This window comes from Homo sapiens, chromosome 8 (genome assembly GCF_000001405.40).
Source record: "Homo sapiens chromosome 8, GRCh38.p14 Primary Assembly".
Lineage (NCBI taxonomy): Eukaryota > Metazoa > Chordata > Mammalia > Primates > Hominidae > Homo > Homo sapiens.
In genome coordinates this window covers 93196606-93216291 of record NC_000008.11, presented here as the reverse complement: position 1 = coordinate 93216291, position 19686 = coordinate 93196606, and the positions used below count along the sequence as shown (strand labels likewise).

At 38.6% G+C, this 19686-nt stretch overlaps 1 annotated feature.

The window, feature by feature from the left end:
- Window positions 10849–11369: an enhancer, noted in NCBI's record as "H3K4me1 hESC enhancer chr8:94217152-94217672 (GRCh37/hg19 assembly coordinates)". NCBI's record gives its function as "activates a minimal SCP1, AML or CMV promoter by ChIP-STARR-seq in primed H9 embryonic stem cells {active_cell/tissue: H9 hESC(primed)}" and the evidence as "EXISTENCE:reporter gene assay evidence [ECO:0000049][PMID:30033119]".

The window sequence follows — 19686 nt, the reverse complement described above, 5'->3', positions numbered from 1 at the left end:
TGATCCTTGTCAGCATGTAGAAGGATGTTTAGGGGAGTAGATGATTTAGTGAGTCCATACTTAGGCACTCTAAGGCTTGTAAACTTATAAATGTCCATGTTCATTTGATTGATATTCACATAATTTTTTGAAATCTTCATTTTTCAGGTGAATACCAGTGGGTACTGTGAGTCCTGTCTTTATCATCCTCTGGATGCTTGCCCAAAATTCATTCTGGCAACAAATACTGGAGATTTTACCTGTCCCTATTTTTAGAATGTACCTAGCCCCTTTTCTCCATTTCTGCTGCCTTTTAAAAGATCACTACTTTAAAAGATCACTACTTGCCTCCTTAATGTTATTAAAAAAATCTCCTAACTGGTCTTGTAACTTCCAGCTTGTCTAGTCTCCAGTTCACTTTCCATACCTCAGCCAAGATGATTCGCCACATCCTCACTTCATTGATTTATCCATTCAGCAAACATTTTCTTGTTGAAGGCTCAGTGGTTGGTGTGCAATTTTACATGATTGTGTACTCTAAGAAATTTGAATGGGTTTGCTATACAAGTTACATACCCTTTCACTTGCTAATTGGTAGTCACTTTCATAAAACCTAATAAGGTCTAAGAAGACTATGCTGTGAGCTCTGAATTTGGGATTAGAGGCATTTTTGGTGACTAGTTCAATAGAAAAGATAGAAATGTTTGTATTTTTCCATAAATGTAAGTATATGAAGTTTATATTTTTCTTCTCTAGTAATATAGATCTGCCCTACCAATGGAGGTATCTTTAGTGAAGTTACCCACTTAGGAGAAGTGGAAAAACAGAAAGTTACGTACCATCTTCTCCAACTTCTTTATTCTTCAAAAGGGAGGTAGTGAATGCTTAAAAAAAAAGTGAGGTCATTGTGGGGAGGCAGGTGGGAACTTGTGCATATTAGTGTATAGAGAAAAACAAAAAGATAAAGACAAAAGATAAGTTCATGGAGTTGTGTGGGGAGGAATGGGGATAATGGGAGGAGGAATAAGGAATGCCAAAAAGAGAGAAAAGACAAAAATTCTGATTTCAAAGTAGAAAAGTAGTCCCTGATGGGAAACATAAAGAATACAGAGTAAATGTTTTATATGCATCTCAATATGCTTAAAATTCATCCCTGGTAATAGAAGTAACATCATTTTGCAACTGAAGATGGATATATCTCCTTCAAAAGACTTTCTGTTGTAATAAGGAAACATAGTATGCTAATAGGGTTTTATTCATTAATTTAAGCATTGTATGAACTCTTAAACTTCTGATCACTGGAAGAAAGTTAATAACAGTATTTTGTAGAGAGGAAGTAATTTTCTGATTGTGTGCCACACAGACAAGCATTATTGCCCTGTTGCATTTTTTCTTGACTTTTTTTTTTTTTTTCCTTTTCACATTTTGTTTGGTCTGGAGCCAAAAGAAGAAATAGACAGAGTCTGAGTGCCAGAACTTGGAAGGATAATTAGGGCCTTTCCTCTAACTGGTTGGCTGTAAGCAGGCAGTGGGAGCTCTTTCTCTCTGAAGTAGCAATCTGTAAGAGAAGAAAGACCAAGTGTTTTTTTGTTTTGTTTGTTTTTGTTTTTGTGCCAATGTCGATCTAGCTCTAGCAGTATTTACTCCTCCAAGGGGCTGTCTAGACATGGTGATCCCCATGATGACATTATGTAACTATCCTACACAAACCTGATAGAAAGCCACAGGTAGATAAAGACTATGTGTGAGTAGAGTTCAAGTTGAGTAAGAATGGTATGTTGTGAAAATATATATTTACATTTTTTTCAACAAATAGATGAAGTATTAAGTATCAATAACATGTGCCAGACTATGTTCTAGGTGATCAGAATACATCAGTGAACCAAATCACTTGTCCTAATGGAGATTACAGTCTAGTAGAATTATACCTTTTTGTTTGCTTTTTTTCTTAAATCTTGCTTTATTAAAGTATGTTTTCAAATATAAATTATTACAAGTTATGTTGGATTACAATAATTAATTCTAGTATCTTGGGAAAAAGTAATTTATTGGGAGAACAGTCATTTTTTCCACTTAATAAAGAATAGAAGAGCTGTCTGCATCCCAAATCCCTAATTAAACCCCACCTCTCACCCACCCATGAATTTGCGGGAAGTATATTTTAATTACAGACAAAATATCAAGCATAAAATTTGTTTATGTTCTGTTTAGGAACCTAAAAATAAGAGATGAGAATGAACATCACAGTCACATACTCTTTGGAAATGTTTTATATTTATAAAGAAAAAGTTTTCTGTAATACCTTACATTTTGTTAAATTTCTCTCATGATCCACACACACATAAATAGTCCATTGAAGTCTTCTCATATATTGTTCATTTTTACTTCAAAAGTGAAATATAAAAATGAGGAAATTGTTATCTTTTTTTTGAGACGTTAGAAATTTTGTATAAAAAGGAGGATAAAACAGTTCATTCTCTGTCCAGTCAATAGCTATGGTAACTATTTAGTATGATGAAGATGCCGTAAGATATGAAATTAATGAACAATTGTCCTAATTTTCAGTAAACATTATTATTTTAAGGCCTCTATTGCTCAAGTCTCCTATTGTTTAAATTTTTATCTTCCTTTCCTTTTGAATGCTAGATTTAATGACTCAAGTGTTCACGTCAGAATTTTCCCCTTTTATGTAGCCCTCTCAAACCCCACAGTTCACATCCACTTGAAACACACATAATTATAAAAGATGAGAGACCAATTATTATCTTCTCTCCTCCCCTGTATCCTCACAGGTGCCTGGCTACTTCAAGAGTTGAGCTAATCACAGGGAAGATTCAGTCTCAGTTCAGCTGCCTCATTTGATCAGCTCAAGACTGAGTCCAACAAAAGTGGTCTGTCTAATGAAACTCATTTTCATTTTTTCTCATTAGTCTATACACGATTGAGACTGTAGAACGACAAAAGAATAAAAAGAAGAATGACAATTAAAAATCATTTTCTCTGGCCCTTGATTTTTGCCTTCTTTTTTTTAAATGTAGTTACGTGCTCATTTTTTGTTTCTTTTTTATTCTCTGCTCTTCTTTTCTATTGATTTTCCCATTTATGAAGGGGGAATTAGTAAATCCATGGTCTGAGTGCTGAGATGTTCTGATAGGCCTTCAAGTTTTCAGCTGTACTCTGAATCAGAATAATATACTCCATCAAGGAGACTGACATTGGCACCACCTTCCCAGAAATCCAGGAGCGCCTTTGCATGAGGAAAAGCAGAAGGGAGTAAAGTCATGAAACATTGTGTGTGTGTTTGTATAAAACTGTATATTTTTGCTCACATATAATAACTATATATTTCTGCTAATTTTTCCTTTTAAAGGCTATTAAGTTACTTAAAATCCATTGCCTAATAAAACTGCAATTCACCTTTGTAATTCACTCATTTGTTTGCTGTCACAGGGAAGATAGAAATTGAGCACGTTTTCGGCTGGGTGTGGTGGCTCACGCCTGTAATCCTAGCACTTGGGGAGGCCGAGGTGGGCGGATCACGAGGTCAGGAGATCGAGACCATCCTGGCTAACATGGTGAAACCTCGTCTCCACTAAAAATTCAAAAAATTAGCTGGGCGAGGTGGTGGGCGCCTGTAGTCCCAGCTACTCGGGAGGCTGAGGCAGGAGAATGGCATGAACCCCGAAGGCAGAGTTTGCAGTGAGCCGAGATCGAGCCACTGCACTCCAGCTTGGGCGACAGAGCGAGACTCTGTCTCAAAAAAAAAAAAAAAAAGAAAAAAAAAGAAAAAGAAAAAGAAAAGAAAAGAAATTGAGCACGTTTTCTGCTCTCCTTCAATACCAACCTCAGAATAAAGTGATGGCGGAGAGAAAACAAGGATCTTGTTTCCAAAATCCTTTAATTCCATGTAACTGAAAACATGAGTCCCACTGACAGTTTTTTAAAAGGTAAGGAGGGAGTGTATTACATAACTAATGGTCCTGAAGTAGTGGTCAGGTAAAGATTATTACATGGATTAACAAGGTCACTCAAATAACCATTTTTTCCCTTATGTCTTTCTTTCCTGTTGCCATAAGATGGCTTCCTACAGCTAGTGGGAATTATTTGCTCCTAATTCATATTTAGCAGGAAGTAACAGTATGTTTTGTAGCAGTTCTCTGGAGGATCAAATAAACTTTTTTTTCCAGTAAGCCTCTATCTGAGTGTTTGATTGGCACAATTGGTCACATTCTCTGAACCAATCATGCAGTTAGGAGGATGGGACCTGAGTGTTGACTGGCTGAACATGTGAACCACACACACGGAGGTGGGGTGAAGTCAGTACATAGGCTATATGGGTGCCATGCTGATGGCTGAATTATGAAAAACCCAAGGAAAAGGGTGAATGCATGTTGGGAGGTTGAAAACTGTACATAGTCACCTCAGAGATAAACATCGGAAGGGTTAGGCAATTCTTAAAATGTCATTCTCAGTCCTCGAATGACATTCAGAACCTTAGCCTAGTGTAGATCAATAATTTGTCACTCACATTATTAATAATGATAGAGTAACCATTAATTCAATAGCATTTAAAAATTCCTGTAAAATGAATTTTCCATAAGTAAAGTGAATTTTTACATTAGGTGAATTTTACATATACATGGTGAATTCGACTGGTTTTTGTATTTCAAAAAGAAATTTAGGCACAAGGGCTGTATGAGAGTTACATTTTACCAAGTTATCCACCAGTTATTTAATAATGGCTAGTCACACCACATGCCCTGCAGTGACACCAGTCTGTGGGTGTGAACTGGCCAGAAGGAAGTAGAGGATAGTAGGCCTGGCAGGGCCTATTGCACAAATCATAGCTCTAGGGATATATTAACAGGGCCCTGCAATAGTGCTGACTTTAGCACAATACAGGGTTTGCTTTGCACATTATAGAGAAAGCTGTACATGTTGGAGATATCAAAAGAACTTCACTTAAGCAATGATTTTCTTATTGTATAGACTGTTAGTTTTATTCTACAAATGTGAAAGCATAAGAAGCATAATATTCCTCTTTTTAAAAAAAATCAAACTAAATGTAATTTATTTATTAAGTTATTTTTCATTGCCTAATAAAACTGATAATGCAATTTTAGACATTATCAAAAGATTTTTCCTCCTTATTTTTCTTCTCCTCCTCTTGATAGTCCTTCTACCTTTAATTAAACCTCCTTTCCACAACCACAGTTGCTTCAAATTTATCAGTCTTCTAGCCTTTATATCCCAGTAAGTTTTTATTGCATTTTGAAACAAAGAGTTTCAGCACAGTAAGGGATCATAAGGACCAGGCTGTTTCATTTAGAAAAGGGAAAAAATGCAATAAGAATAAAAGATAAATTAATAATCCATTATATTGCCGCATATTACCATAGGCTATATTCTACAAACAGTTACATAGCGTTTTCTGCATTATATATTATAATCCACCTCCCCCACAACAACAACAACAACAACAACAAAAACACACACTAGAATAGGTTGCTAAAGGAAAGTGCAAAATAATTCCCTGGAGGTCTTCATGATAAATCTGAAAAATTCTTACCCTAATGAGTTTAGGAGATACTTTTTAGGTTTTCAGATTCTTCCTACATGGAAGCTTCTTCCCCTCCCTTTTCTGTCTTCACCTAATTCAATCTTGTTTTCCCTAATGACCTCAGGTACTCTTCTCTGTTCAAATTATCCCAGCATATCCTGGGCTTTTCCTTTAGAATACACAGAATTGGCAAATATAATTGGAATGTCATTAATTGGTTAATGTCTATCCTCCCTGTTAGAGAGTCACACTCATTTGGCCAATGGTCATGCCCTATCTCCAGGTTCTAACACAGTGCCTGTTATATAATGTGTTCCATAAATGCTATCAAACAAATGAACATCTCACTTGGTAGACAGAAAATGGAAAGGAAGAAGAAAAAGCATATAGTCTTTTGTAGTGCCTAGCATTGTACTAGGCATTACTTATTATTTTATTCTCATGGCAACCTACAGTGATAGTTGACATTATCTTCTTTTGCAGATGAGGAAACTGGAGCTTTAGAGATCATTTAACTTACCTGAAATCAGTCAGTAGGTATAAGAATATCTGCCTTCAACTAGCAGTGTGTTTTTCCATGACTCTATTTTCAAGATGATTTGCATCTTCTTTCAATAGTTTCTGGAATCTTGAAGGTGGGGAATGTGAAATATTGTTTTCCTCTTAGAAGGAAAAGACAGAAAAGATATTATCCTGAAAAAAAAAAATAAGGGAAAAGACATTTAAACTAGCTGTGGAAATTTAAAGAAAGGTGCAGAGAGTAATTTTACTGGGATGGCTTTTCTCTTAATGTGCCCTGAAGAAAGTACAGTACTGCGTACTGAGTGAGGTTCACTCCCAGCAGCAGGGCGGGTCCGCATGAACCATGTTTCCACCATGCCCTGGGCATTCACTGGCCCTTGCAGCACTCCTCCAATGGAGTTTGTGAAGTTCTCCCTAATTTGGACCTGCTTTAACCTTTCAGTCAAACAAAAGGATCGCTTTTAGTGGGTGCCCTGGTCAGGTGTTTCTCTGAGAATCGGATCTTTATAACACCCAGAAAAGAACACTCAGTAATTGTGCAACCACCCCTGTTTCATTTATATAACTGAGATTGATGAGAAGGGAAGGAAAGTGTTTACAGTGCAGGAAGATAGGAATTTTGGGATTAAGTAGGAAAGCACACCGAAATGAGCTGTCTGGGGTAATTATGAAACACATACTTCATATGTTTTCATTAGACATTACTGCTATACTACACAAGGCAAAGGAGTTTGATTAAACTACAGTTCAGTATATAAATGTATGCATAAATTACAGGGAAAGTGATTAATTCATTACATTTCAAAAACTCTTCAGGGACATTAAGTGAGTAGAAATTTAGTCACTAGGTACATAGCATAAGAAGTAAACCGTAGTTAGGTGATGGGTGTGAAGACACAAAACAGACAACAAATGTGCCTCCAAAACATGGCCAGTAAAACTTGATGCTCATGGATTGAAAACACAAAAGCCAAGGTAACAGTATATTGCAAAATCTAAGAAGCTATAACAACTTCATAGTTATTATTGGAATCTATCAAAATATCATTAAAATAATCTTCTCATGAACTATATGAGTCTACCAATTCCCATTTGATATGTATATGATTTGTACTTTTTTTTTAAACTTACTTTATATTTGGGGATACATGCGAAGGTTTGTTATATAGGTAAACTCCTGTCATGGGGGTTTGTTGTATGGATAATTTTATCACCCAGGTTAAGCCTAGTGCCCAATAGTTATTATTATTATTATTATTATTATTATTATTATTATTATTATTATTTGAGACAGAGTCTCACTCTGTTGTCAGGCTGGAGTGTAGTGGCGCGATCTTGGCTCACTGCAGCCTCCACCACTTGGGTTCAAGCGATTCTCGTGCCTCAGCCTCCCGAGTAGCTGGGATTACAGGCATACGTCCAGCTAAGTTTTATATTTTTAGTAGAGATGGGGTTTCACCACGTTGGCCAGTCTTGTCTCAATCTCCTGACCTCATGATCCACCTGCCTCGGCCTCCCAAAGTGCTGGGATTACAGGTGTGAGCCACAGCGCCGGCCCCCAGTAGTTATTTTTTCTGCTCCTCTCCTTCTTGCCACCCAATACCCTCAAGAAGACCTCAGTGTCAGTTGTTTCCTTCTTTGTGTTCATGAGTTCTCATAATTTAGTTCCCACTTATAAGTGAGAACATGTGATATTTGGTTTTCTGTTCCTGCATTAGTTTGTTAAGGATAATAGACTCCAGCTTCATCCACACTCCTGCAAAAGACATGATCTCATTGTTTTTTATGGCTGCATAATATTCCATGGTGTGTATGTACCACATTTTCTTTATTCAATGTGTCACTGATGGGCATTTAGGTTGATTCCTTGTCTTTGCCCTTGTGAACAGTGTTGCAATGAACATTCACATGCATGTGTCTTTATGGTAGAATAATATATATATTCCTCTGGGTATATATCCAGTAATGGGATTGCTGGGTTGAATCTTAGTTCTGCTTCTAGCTCTTTGAGGAATTGCCATACTGCTTTCCATAATAGTTGAAGTAATTTACACTCCTGAGAACAGTGTATAAATGTTCCCTTTTCTCCTCAACCTCACTAGCATCTGTTATTTTTTGACTTTTTAGTAATAGCCATTCTGACTGGTATGAGGTGATATCTCACTGTGGTTTTGATTTGCATTTCTCTAATGATCAGTGATATTGAGCTTTTTTTTTATATGCTTGTTGGCCATACATATGGCTTCTTTTGAAAAGTGTCTGTTCAAGTCCTTTGTCCACTTTTTAATGGTGCTGTTTTTCCTCTTATAAATGTGTTTAATTTCCTTATAGATACTGGATATTAGACCTTTGTCAGATGCATAGTTTGCAAATATTTTCTCTCATTCTGTAGGTTGTCTGTTTACTCTGTTAATAGTTTATTTTGCTGTGCAGAAGCTAATTTGATGAGATCCCATTTGTAAAATTTTGCTTTTGTTGCTATTGGTTTTGGTGTCTTTGCCATGAAATCTTTTTCTGTTCCTATGTTCAGGATGGTATTGTTTAGGTTGTTTTCCAGGGTTTTTATAGTTTTGGGTTTTACATGTAAGTCTTTAATCCATCTTGAGTTGATTTTTGTATTAATATATGGTGTAAGGAAGGGGTCCAGCTTCAATCTTCTCCATGTGGCTAGTCGGTTATCCCAGCACCATTTATTGAATAGGGAGTCTTTTCTCCATCGCTTGTTTTTGTTAGGTTTGTCAAAGATCAGATGGTCATAGGAGGCATCATGTTATCTGACTTCAAACTATACTATAGGGCTGCAGTAACCAAAACTTCATGGTACTGGTACAAAAACAGGAATATAGACCAATGGAATAGAATAGAGACCCCATAAATAAGGCTGATTTGTACCTTTTTAAGTGCTCAGCTCAAAATAAGTAACTTTTATAATATTATCTCAGGACATCTTTGAGGAAGCCTCAATAAGTGATCTGTTTTTCCTCTGATAGCCAACAGTGCTAGTCATAGTTTCTTCTTCCTGAACCACTCACATGCTGGGCCCTGCAGAGGCCCTGCCTTAGTCTTGAGTTCTAAGAGAGTTGAAGAAGAACATATATTTCCTCCAGCCCCAGCCACATGCATCCCATCTCCTCCTCAAACACTAATTAATAAATATTTTTCTTAGTCAACCACTATATCGAATTGAACTCATTTATTCCTTTCATGCAACAAATATTTCTTCTGCAAATGTTGGAGGGCCTACTAAGTGAAAGGCAGAATGTATTACTTTCTGAGAGCTGCTGTAACACAGGATCACAGGTTTGGCAGTCAAAAACAAAGAAATATATTGTCTTACAGCTCTGGAAGCCAGAAGTCCAAAATCAAGGTGTTGGTAGGTTGATTATTCCTGGAGGCTCTGAGGGAGAAAGCTCCTCATGCTTCTTTCTGAGCTTCTGATATTTGTTGGCAATCCCTGGAGCTCCTTGGCTTGTAGATCAATCACTGCAATCTCTGCCTTCATCTTTACAATGCTTTCTTCTCTATGTCCTTGTGTCTTCTCTTTTTCTGTGCCTTACAAGGAAGGTGTCATTAGATTTAGGGCCCACCTTAATCTAATATGATCGAATGTTGAGTTATCTTAATCATATCTGCAATAATTCTTCTTCCAAATAAAGTCACATTTTGAGGTTCCAGGTGGATATGAATTTTGGGGAAATGCTACGACACCCACTACACATATTAAGTTGGATTTGACTTGAAAAATTACTAGAGCTTTGGAGGTCACACATTTGGGACTTACTCAGTGTGGCACAGATGTCTGACAGGTTAGGCATCACATGAAGCAATTTCAGATTAAAGCTCAAAACCAGAGGTTTGGCCAAATCCCTCTGATTTGGTAGGATCAGAGCAAGGTTTTTAAACTGTGTCTGGGAGAATTCTAGGTCTTGAAAGGGCCATCAAAGGAAAGGGGTGGGAGGGTTAGGGAGCATCTAGGTAAATAACACTTTGATGAGAGCTGCTGGCCTTTTCCCTGTTTTGTATGTTGTGGCTCTGTGTAAGAATTGATTTATAAAGAGTGTCCACTTCAGAAATGATAGAAAATTAGTGGCCAAGAGCACCTCTTGCCCTAAACACTTATACTTATTTCAGAAGTATGTTTTCAAGTAGGGTAACACATTACAGCTTTCAAAGTTTGCTGTGGAATTAACCCCATCATCTCCAAAGGACCTCAAGGCTCATGGGGCTGGTGAGTTTCAAAAGAAGGGAGGACATGAATAGTATTTAAATAGGTTGTAGGCCCAGATGTGTTGGCTCATGCCTGTAATCCCAGCACTTTGGGAGGCTGAGGTGGGCAGATCACGAGGTCAAGAGATCAAGACCGATTGCTGTTCCAAGATGGCCGAATAGGAACAGCTCTGGTCTGCAGCTCCCAGCGTGATTGACACAGAAGATGGGTGATTTATGCATTTCCAACTGAGGTACCTGATTCTTCTCACTGGGACTGGTTGGACAGTGGGTGCAGCCCATGGAGGGTGAGCCGAAGCAGGTCAGGGCATCGTCTTACCTGGGAGGTGCAAGGGGTCAGGGGATTTACCTTTCCTAGCCAAGGGAAGCTGTGACAGACTGTACCTGGAAAAACGGGACATTCCTGCTCAAATACTGTGCTTTTCCAACAGTCTTACAAATGGCACACCAGAAGATTATATCCCATGCCTGGCTCAGCAGGTCCCATGCCCACAGAACGTTGCTCACTGCTAGCGCAGCAGCCTTAGATCAACCTGCGAGGCAGCAGCCTGGCAGGGGGAGGGGCATCTGCCATTGCTGAGGCTTGAGTAGGTAAACAAAGCAGCCTGGAAGCTCGAACTGGGCAGAGCCCACTGCAGTGCTGCAAGGCTTGCTGCCTCTATAGACTCCACGTCTGGGGGCAGGGCATAGCTGAATAAAAGGCAGTAGAAACTTCTGTAGACTTAAACAACCCTGTCTGACAGCTCTGGAGAGAGCAGTAGTTCTCCAAGCAAGGTGTTTGAGCTCTGAGAATGGACAGACTGCCTCCTCAAGTGGGTCCCTGACCTCCATGTAGCCTAACTAGCAGACACCTCCCAGTAGGGGCTGACTGACACCTCATACAGGCGGGTGCCCCTCTGGAACAAAGCTTCCAGAGGAAGGATCAGGCAGCAATATTTGCTGTTCTGCAATATTTGCTGTTCTGAAGCCTCTGCTTGTGATACCCAGGCAAACAGGGTCTGGAGTGGACCTCCAGCAAACTTCAACAGACCTGAAGCTGAGGGACCTGACTGTTAATTGGAAAACTAACAAACAGAAAGGAATAAAATCAACATCAACAAAAAGGACATCTGCACGAAAACCCCATCAGTAGGTCACCAACATCAAAGACCAAAAGTAGATAAAACCACAAAGACGGGGAGAAACCACAGCAGAAAAGATGAAAATTCTAAAAACCAGAGCACCTCTTCTCCTCCAAAGGATCACAGCTCCTCGTCAGCAACAGAACAAAGCTGGATGGAGAATGACTTTGATGAGCTGACAGAAGTAAGCTTCAGAAGGTCAATAATAACAAACTTCTTCAAGGTAAAGCAGGATGTTGGAAACCATTGCAAGGAAGCTAAAAACCTTGAAAAAAGATTAGAAGAATGGCTAACTAGAATAAACAGTGTAGAGAAGACCTTAAATGACCTGATGGAGCTGAAAACCATGGCACGAGAACTACGTGATGCATGCACAAGCTTCAATAGACAATTCGATCAAGTGGAAGAAAGGGTATCAGTGATTGAAGATCAAATAAATGAAATAAATTGAGAAGAGAAGTTTAGAAAAAAATGAGTAAAAAGAAATGAACAAAGCCTCCAAGAAATATGGGACTATGTGAAAAGACCAAATCTACGTTTGATTGGTCTACCTGAAAGTGATGGGGAGAATGAAACCAAGCTGGAAAACACTCTTCAGGATATTATCCAGGAGAACTTCCCCAACCTAGCAAGGCAGACCAATATTCAAATTCAGGAAATACAGAGAACACCATAAAGATACTCCTTGAGAAGAGCAACCCCAAGACACATAATTGTCAGATTCACCAAGGTTGAAATGAAGAAAAAAATGTTAAGGGCAGCCAGACAGAAAGGTCGGGTTACCCACAAAGGGAAGCCCATCAGACTAACAGCGGATCTCTAGAAAGAAACTGCAAGTCAGAAGAGAGTGGGGGCCAATATTCAACATTCTTAAAGAAAAGAATTTTCAAGCCAGAATTTCATATCCAGCCAAACTAAGCTTCAAAATGAAGGAGAAATGAAATACTTTACAGACAAGCAAATTCTGAGAGATTTTGTCACCACCAGGCCTGCCTTACAAGAGCTCCTGAAGGAAGCACTAAACATGGAAAGGAAAACCAGTACCAGCCACTGCAAAAACATGCCAAATTGTAAAGACCATTGATGCTATGAAGAAACTGCATCAGTTAATGGGCAAAATAACCAGCTAACATCATAATGACAGGATCAAATTCACATATAACAATATTAACCTTAAATGTAAATGGGCTAAATGCCCCAATTAAAAGACACAGCCTGGCAAATTGGATAAAAAGTCAAGACCCATCAGTGTGCTGTATTCAGGAGACCCATCTCATGTGCAAAGACACACATAGGCTCAAAATAGAGGGATTGAGAAAGATCTAACTACCAAATGGAATGCAAAAAAAAAATCAGGGGTTGCAATCTCAGTCTCTGATAAAACAGACTTTAAACCAACGAAGATCTAAAGAGACAAAGAAGGCCATTACATAATGGTAAAGGAATCAATTCAACAACAAGAGCTAACTATCCTAAATATACATGCACCCAATACAGGAGCACCCAGATTCATAAAGCAAGTCCTTAGAAACCTATGAAGAGTCTTAGACTCCCACTCAATTATCATGGGAGACTTTAACATCCCACTGTCAATATTAGGCAGATCAACAAGACAGAATGTTAATAAGCATATTCAGGACATGAACTCAGCTCTGCACCAAGTGGACCTAATAGACATCTACAGAACTCTCCAGTCCAGCCCAAATCAACAGAATATAGCTTCTTCTCAGCACCACATCGCACATATTCCAAATTGACCACATATTTGGAAGTAAAGCACTCCTCAGCAAATGTAAAAGAATAGAAATAACAACAAACTGTCTCTCAGGCCACAGTGCAATCAAATTAGAACTCAGGATTAAGAAATTCACTGAAAACCGCACAACTACATGGAAACTGAACAACCTGCTCCTGAATGACTGCTGGGTAAATAATGAAATGAAGTCAGAAATAAAGATGTTCTTTGAAACCAATAAAAACAAAGACACAATGTACCAGAATCTCTGGGACACATTTAAAGCAGTGTGTAGAGGGAAATTTATAACACTAAATGCCCACAACAGAAAGCAGGAAAGACCTAAAATTGACACCCTAACATCACAATTAAAAGAACTAGAGAAGAAAGAGCAAACACATTCAAAAGCTAGCAGAAGGCAAGAAATAACTAAGATCAGAGCAGAACTGAAGGAGATAGAGTCACAAAAAACCCTTCAAAAAATCAATGAATCCAGGAGCTGGGTTTTTGAAAACATCAACAAAATTAATAGACTGCTAGCAAGACTAATAAAGAAGAAAATAGAGAAGAATCAAATAGATGCAATTAAAAATGATGAAGGGGATATCACCACCGATCCCACAGAAATACAAGCTACCATCAGAGAATACTATAAATACCTCTACACAAATAAACTAGAAAATCTAGAAGAAATGGATAAATTCCTGGACACATACACCCTCCCAAGACTAAACCAGGAAGAAGTGGAATCCCTGAACAGAGCAATAACAGGCTCTGAAATTAAGGCAATAATTAATAGCCTACCAATCAAAAAAAGTCCAGGGCCAGATGGATTCACAGCCGAATTCTACCAGAGGTACAAAGAGGAGCTAATACCATTCCTTCTGAAACTATTCCAATCAATAGAAAAAGAGGGAATCCTCCCTAACTCATTTAATGAGGCCAGCATCATCCTGATACCAAACCCTGGCAGAGACACAACAAAAAAAGAGAATTTTAGGCTAATATCCCTGATGAACATCGATGCTAAAATCCTCAATAAAATACTGGCAAATCGAATCCAGCAGCACATCAAAAAGCTTATCCACCACTATCAAGTCAGCTTCATCCCTGGGATACAAGGCTGGTTCGACATATGCAAATCAATAAACATAATCCATCACATGAACAGAACCAATGACAAAAACCACACGATTATGTCAATAGACACAAAAAAGGCCTTTGACAAAATTCAACAGCTCTTCATGCCAAAAACTCTCAATAAACTAGGTATTAATGGAATGTATCTCAAAATAATAAGAGCTATTTATGACAAACCCACAGCCAATATCATACTGAATGGGCAAAAACTGGAAGCATTCCCTCTGAAAACTGGCAAAAGACAGGGATACCCTCTCACCACTCCTATTCAACATAGTGTTGGAAGTTCTGGCCAGGGCAATCAGGCAGAAGAAAGAAATAAAGGATATTCAACTAGGAAAAGAGGAAGTCAAATTGTCCCTGTTTGCAGATGACATCATTGTATATTTAGAAAACCCCATCGTCTCAGCCCCAAATCTGTTTAATCTGATTAGCAACTTCAGCAAAGTCTCAGGATAAAAAATTAATGTGCCAAAATCACAAGCATTCCTATGCACTAATAACAGACAAACAGAGAGCCAAATCATGAGTGACTCCTATTCACAATTGCTACAAAGAGAATAAAATACCTAGGAATCCAACTTACAAGGGATGTGAAGGGCCTCTTCAAGGAGAACTACAAACCACTGCTCAACAAAATAAAAAAGGACACAAATCAATGGAAGAACATTCCATGCTCATGGATAGGAAGAATCAATATCGTGAAAATGGCCATACTGCCCAAGGTAATTAATAGATTCAATGCCATCCCCATCAAGCTACCAATGACTTTCTTCACAGAATTGGAAAAAAACTACTTTAAAGTTCATATGGAACCAAAAAAGAGCCTCGTTGCCAAGACAATCCTAAGCCAAAAGAACAAAGCTGGAGGCATCATGCTACCTGACTTGAAACTATACTACAAGTCTACAGTAACGAAAACAGCATGGTACTGGTACCAAAACAGATACATAGACCAATAGAACAAAACAGAGGCCTTGGAAATAACACCTCACATCTACAACCATCTGATCTTTGACAATTCTGACAAAAACAAGAAATGGGGAAAGGATTCCCTATTTAATAAATGGTGCTGGGAAAACTGGCTAGCCATATGTAGAAAGCTGAAACTGGATCCCTTCCTTACACCTTATACAAAAGTTAATTCAAGATGGATTAAAGACTTAAATGTTAGACCTAAACCCATAAAACCCCTAGAAGAAAACCTAGGCAATACCATTCAGGACATAAGCATGGGCAAGGACTTCATGACTAAAACACCAAAAGCAATGGCAACAAAAGCCAAAATTGACAAATGGGATCTAATTAAACTAAAGAGCTTCTGCACAGCAAAAGAAACTACCATCAGAGTGAACAGGCAACCTACAGAATGGGAGAACATTTTTGCAATCTACTCATCTGACAAAGGGCTAATATCCAGAATCTACAAAGAACCCAAACAAATTTACAAGAAAAAAACAAACAACCCCATCAAAAAGTGGGCAAAGGATATGAACAGACACTTCTCAAAAGAAGACATTTATGCAGCCAACAGACACATGAAAAAATGCTCATCATCACTGGTCATCAGAGAAATGCAAATCAAAACCACGATGAGTTACCATCTCACACCAGTTAGAATGGCGATCATTAAAATGTCAGGAAAAAACAGATGCTGGAGAGGATGTGGAGAAATAGGAATGCTTTTACACTGTTGGTGGGAGTATAAATTAGTTCATTAGTTTAACCATTGTGGAAGACAGTGTGGTGATTCCTCAAGGATCTAGAACTAGAAATACCATTTGACCCAGCAATCCCATTACTGGGTATATAACGAAAGCATTATATATCATGTTACTATAAAGACACATGCACATGTATGTTTATTGTGGCACTACTCACAATAACAAAGACTTGGAAGCAACCCAAATGTCCATTGATGATAGACTGGATTAAGAAAATGTGGCACATACACACCATGGAATACTATGCAGCCATAAAAAAGGATGAGTTCATGTCCTTTGCAGGGACATGGTTGAAGCTGGAAACCATTATTCTGAGCAAACTATCACGAGGACAGAAAACCAAACACTGCATGTTCTCACTCATAGGTGGGAATTGAACAATGAGAACACTTGGACACAGGGAGGGGAACATCACACACTGGGGCCTATCATGGGCTGGGGTGCTGGCAGATGGATAGCATTAGGAGAAATACCCAATGTAAATGATGAGTTAATGGGTGCACCAAACCAACATGGCACATGTATACCTATGTAACAAACCTGCATGTTGTGCACATGTACCCTAGAACTTAAAGTATAATTAAAAAACATTTAAAAAATAAGAGATCAAGACCATCCTGAGCAACATGGTGAAACCCCGTCTCTACTAAGAAGTACAAAAATTAGCTGGACATGGTGGTGCGTGCCTGTAGTCCCAGCTACTTGGGAGGCTGAGGCAGGAGAATCGCTTGAACCCAGGAGGTAGAGGTTACAGTGAGCCGAGATAACACCACTGCACTGCAGCCTGAGCAACAGAGTGTGACTCAAGTCTCAAAAAAAAAAAAAAAAAAAAAAAAAAAGGAGGGAGGAGAGGGGAGGGGAGGGGAAAGCAGAGGAGAGTTGGCTGTAAGGAAATGTCTAGACACCTTAAGGTGCTGCTCGGAAGGACGACCTCCTTTCATCACTGTTTTGAAACCGGCAGCTTCACATAGGACTGTTGCTAGGGGTCATGAATATATTCTGAGAACAGAGCAAAGCATTTTATAAAAGGGTCCTTTCTCTCGAATGCTTAAGTGGTGAATGTTCCCAGCTTAGAGTCAAGCTCATTCATTGCCATCACACTGGCAAATGACTAGTAAACATGAATAGTATTTAAATAGGTTTTAAGAAGTAGACTCAGGCTGAGGTACCATGGTGATTATTCAGGGAAATGGGGAAAGCTTCTTTAACTCAGATTTGGGCTTCTAAGCTCTTTAGCAACCCCAAAGCAGTGAGATTGTTAAAGTTATAGAGGCTTTCTGGACCCTCACATCTGTTTATGAATAACCCCAAACCCTAAGCTAAGCAAATCTATTTAACTCAATGTAATTATAAATATGAGCTTTTATTATTCAAATGACTTCTTCATATGCCAGGAAAACCACCTTGCAAAGCTTATTAAGAACCACAGAAGAGAAATCTTTGTTCTCACGAATGACAGATGTCTTAAAGCAAAACAAAGCAAAATAATAACAAAATACCCAACCTCCTCCAAATGGCAGCTTTTTATACTAGATGAAGAATAGATATTTGACCTCCAAACCAGTGAGACATTTGGAAGGGAAAAAATGACTGTTTGGCCACTTGCTGCTCCATTTTGATTAACAGGCTTCTCCTTCAGTTGGTTTGGGACCCTCATAATTTAGTATTTCCGCTGCAATCATGTGGAGTCAACTCTGACAGCCCCTCACCTTCCCTCCCTCTCCTCCCCACCTGCCTTACTAGCATCACCAAATAAAGAGTAATTGTAAATTATACATTCTCTGATATTACTTTGATCTTAAGGGCATTGTTAGTAATGTTGGATTCTCATTCTGTAGTTTCTAATTAGTCTTATTGCCTTGATTTAAATTTGTCTTTTTGGAGATGGGACTGGAAAAGGAGGTTAAAGCACATGCCTCCATCAAAGTGTGTCTCTGTTCAGAATGAATTTAACCACGAGCACTGGTGGCTTGGTCACAAGGCTATGTGTCGGGGAGACAATAGAGAGATGAGGGTGTGTTTCCAAAGGTGAGCTGGTGGAGTCTTTGATTCTATTCAAGGGGCAGTTCAGGCAAGGTGGTGAAAGGTACATGGTCTGGGTACAATTCAGTTTCATCACCTTTTAGTTGATGACCTCAGACAAGGTCCTATGCTCTCTGTCATAAACATCACAAGAGTCAGCATGTATAAAGCATATGGACTTGTACTTAGCACTTTGTAAATGTTGTCTATTAAACCAGACAAGGATTCTGTCATCAGCTTCAGAATCAATCAATCAATTGGTTAATTTCAGATACTGGTATGAAATAAATAAGGAATAGAAAAGGGACAAGGGCCCAGCTGGAGAAAACAGCTTGGCATGAGGGGGTGAAAAAGGAAAGTATAGCTGGAGCTAGAAAGAGGGGAGAAGAGTGGGAGGTTAGGTGAAGGAAGCAGGCAGGAACCAGACCAGAAGGGACCTCACTCACTCTAGTAAGGAAATTGAATTCTACCCAAATGTACTAAGAATTCATAGAAGCGACACAATCTGATGTATGCTTAAAAAAATCCCTGGTTTGTGTGTGGACTATGAGTTGTAGAGAGCCAGACGCAGAATCAGGAAGACCATTCAGGACATTGGAATCACAGAATGGGTATGGGGATTAGAATGAGAAAATTTGTGTTTGACAGGGAATGTGGTTTTAGGCAAGCTTTATGAATGAGCCTTGCTTTTCTCATTCAGAAACATGGAAGACAATCATACTTACCTTGCAGGGTTGTTATAAGAGTGAAATGAGATCATGTATATGGAAATGTTTGGTGAAGTGTAATGATAAACAAACACCAGTTCTTAACATTGCTACTACTACTACCTACATCTGTTTTTCAACATGTGGTTCTCATACCATCTGTGTTAGAATCATCTGAAGCATAAGCACAGAGGTTTTAGTTCAGACTTCCAAATTTCCACCTACTTTTTCTAGTCACCAATATCATTACAAATAAGGGATTGCAGTATAGTGGTGAAGAGTGGGGCAGGACTACATGTTTCTAGTTCTGGTTCTGCCTCCTTAACTTTCTTTCCCTCTCTGTGTCCCACTAGCCTCATCTGTAAAATGGGAATGATAATTAGAACATGTATTTTCTGGGGTTTTTGAAAAGGCAAATGGATTAGTACATTTAAAAGGCTTAAACTAGAGATCAGCTCATGATAAGCACTAATGAATGTTAACCATTGTTAACAGGAAAGGTCTGATTGGGAGCAGATGTTAACGTTGGACACAACAATTCAAGACTCACCTCTTAACATGCAAAGACCCAGTCCTTGTTTGTGAAGTGCTTACAGTCTTGCAGAGGTGATATATAAATAGGTCAATACATTGCAGGGTAATAATTGGCACAATAAACATTAAAAAAATAACCATACATAATAGAACATTCACACTGATGACTTTTAAGTTGTATTACATGCCAATCTCTTTTTATTCAGGCTTAGTTTAATATTCATCTATCTTTAGACTCGTTAAACCTGGCTAACTTGTCTGGCAGTTAAAATCCCATTTAAATATTTGGTTCTGAGGAATGAGCCTTGGAGAAGAAAAAGGATTGCTTTACTCCCTTTATTTTTCTCATATACTTCCTTCTAGTTTGTGTTCCAGTAAACATTTATATTTATAGCTGACTGAATAAGCTTGCTTC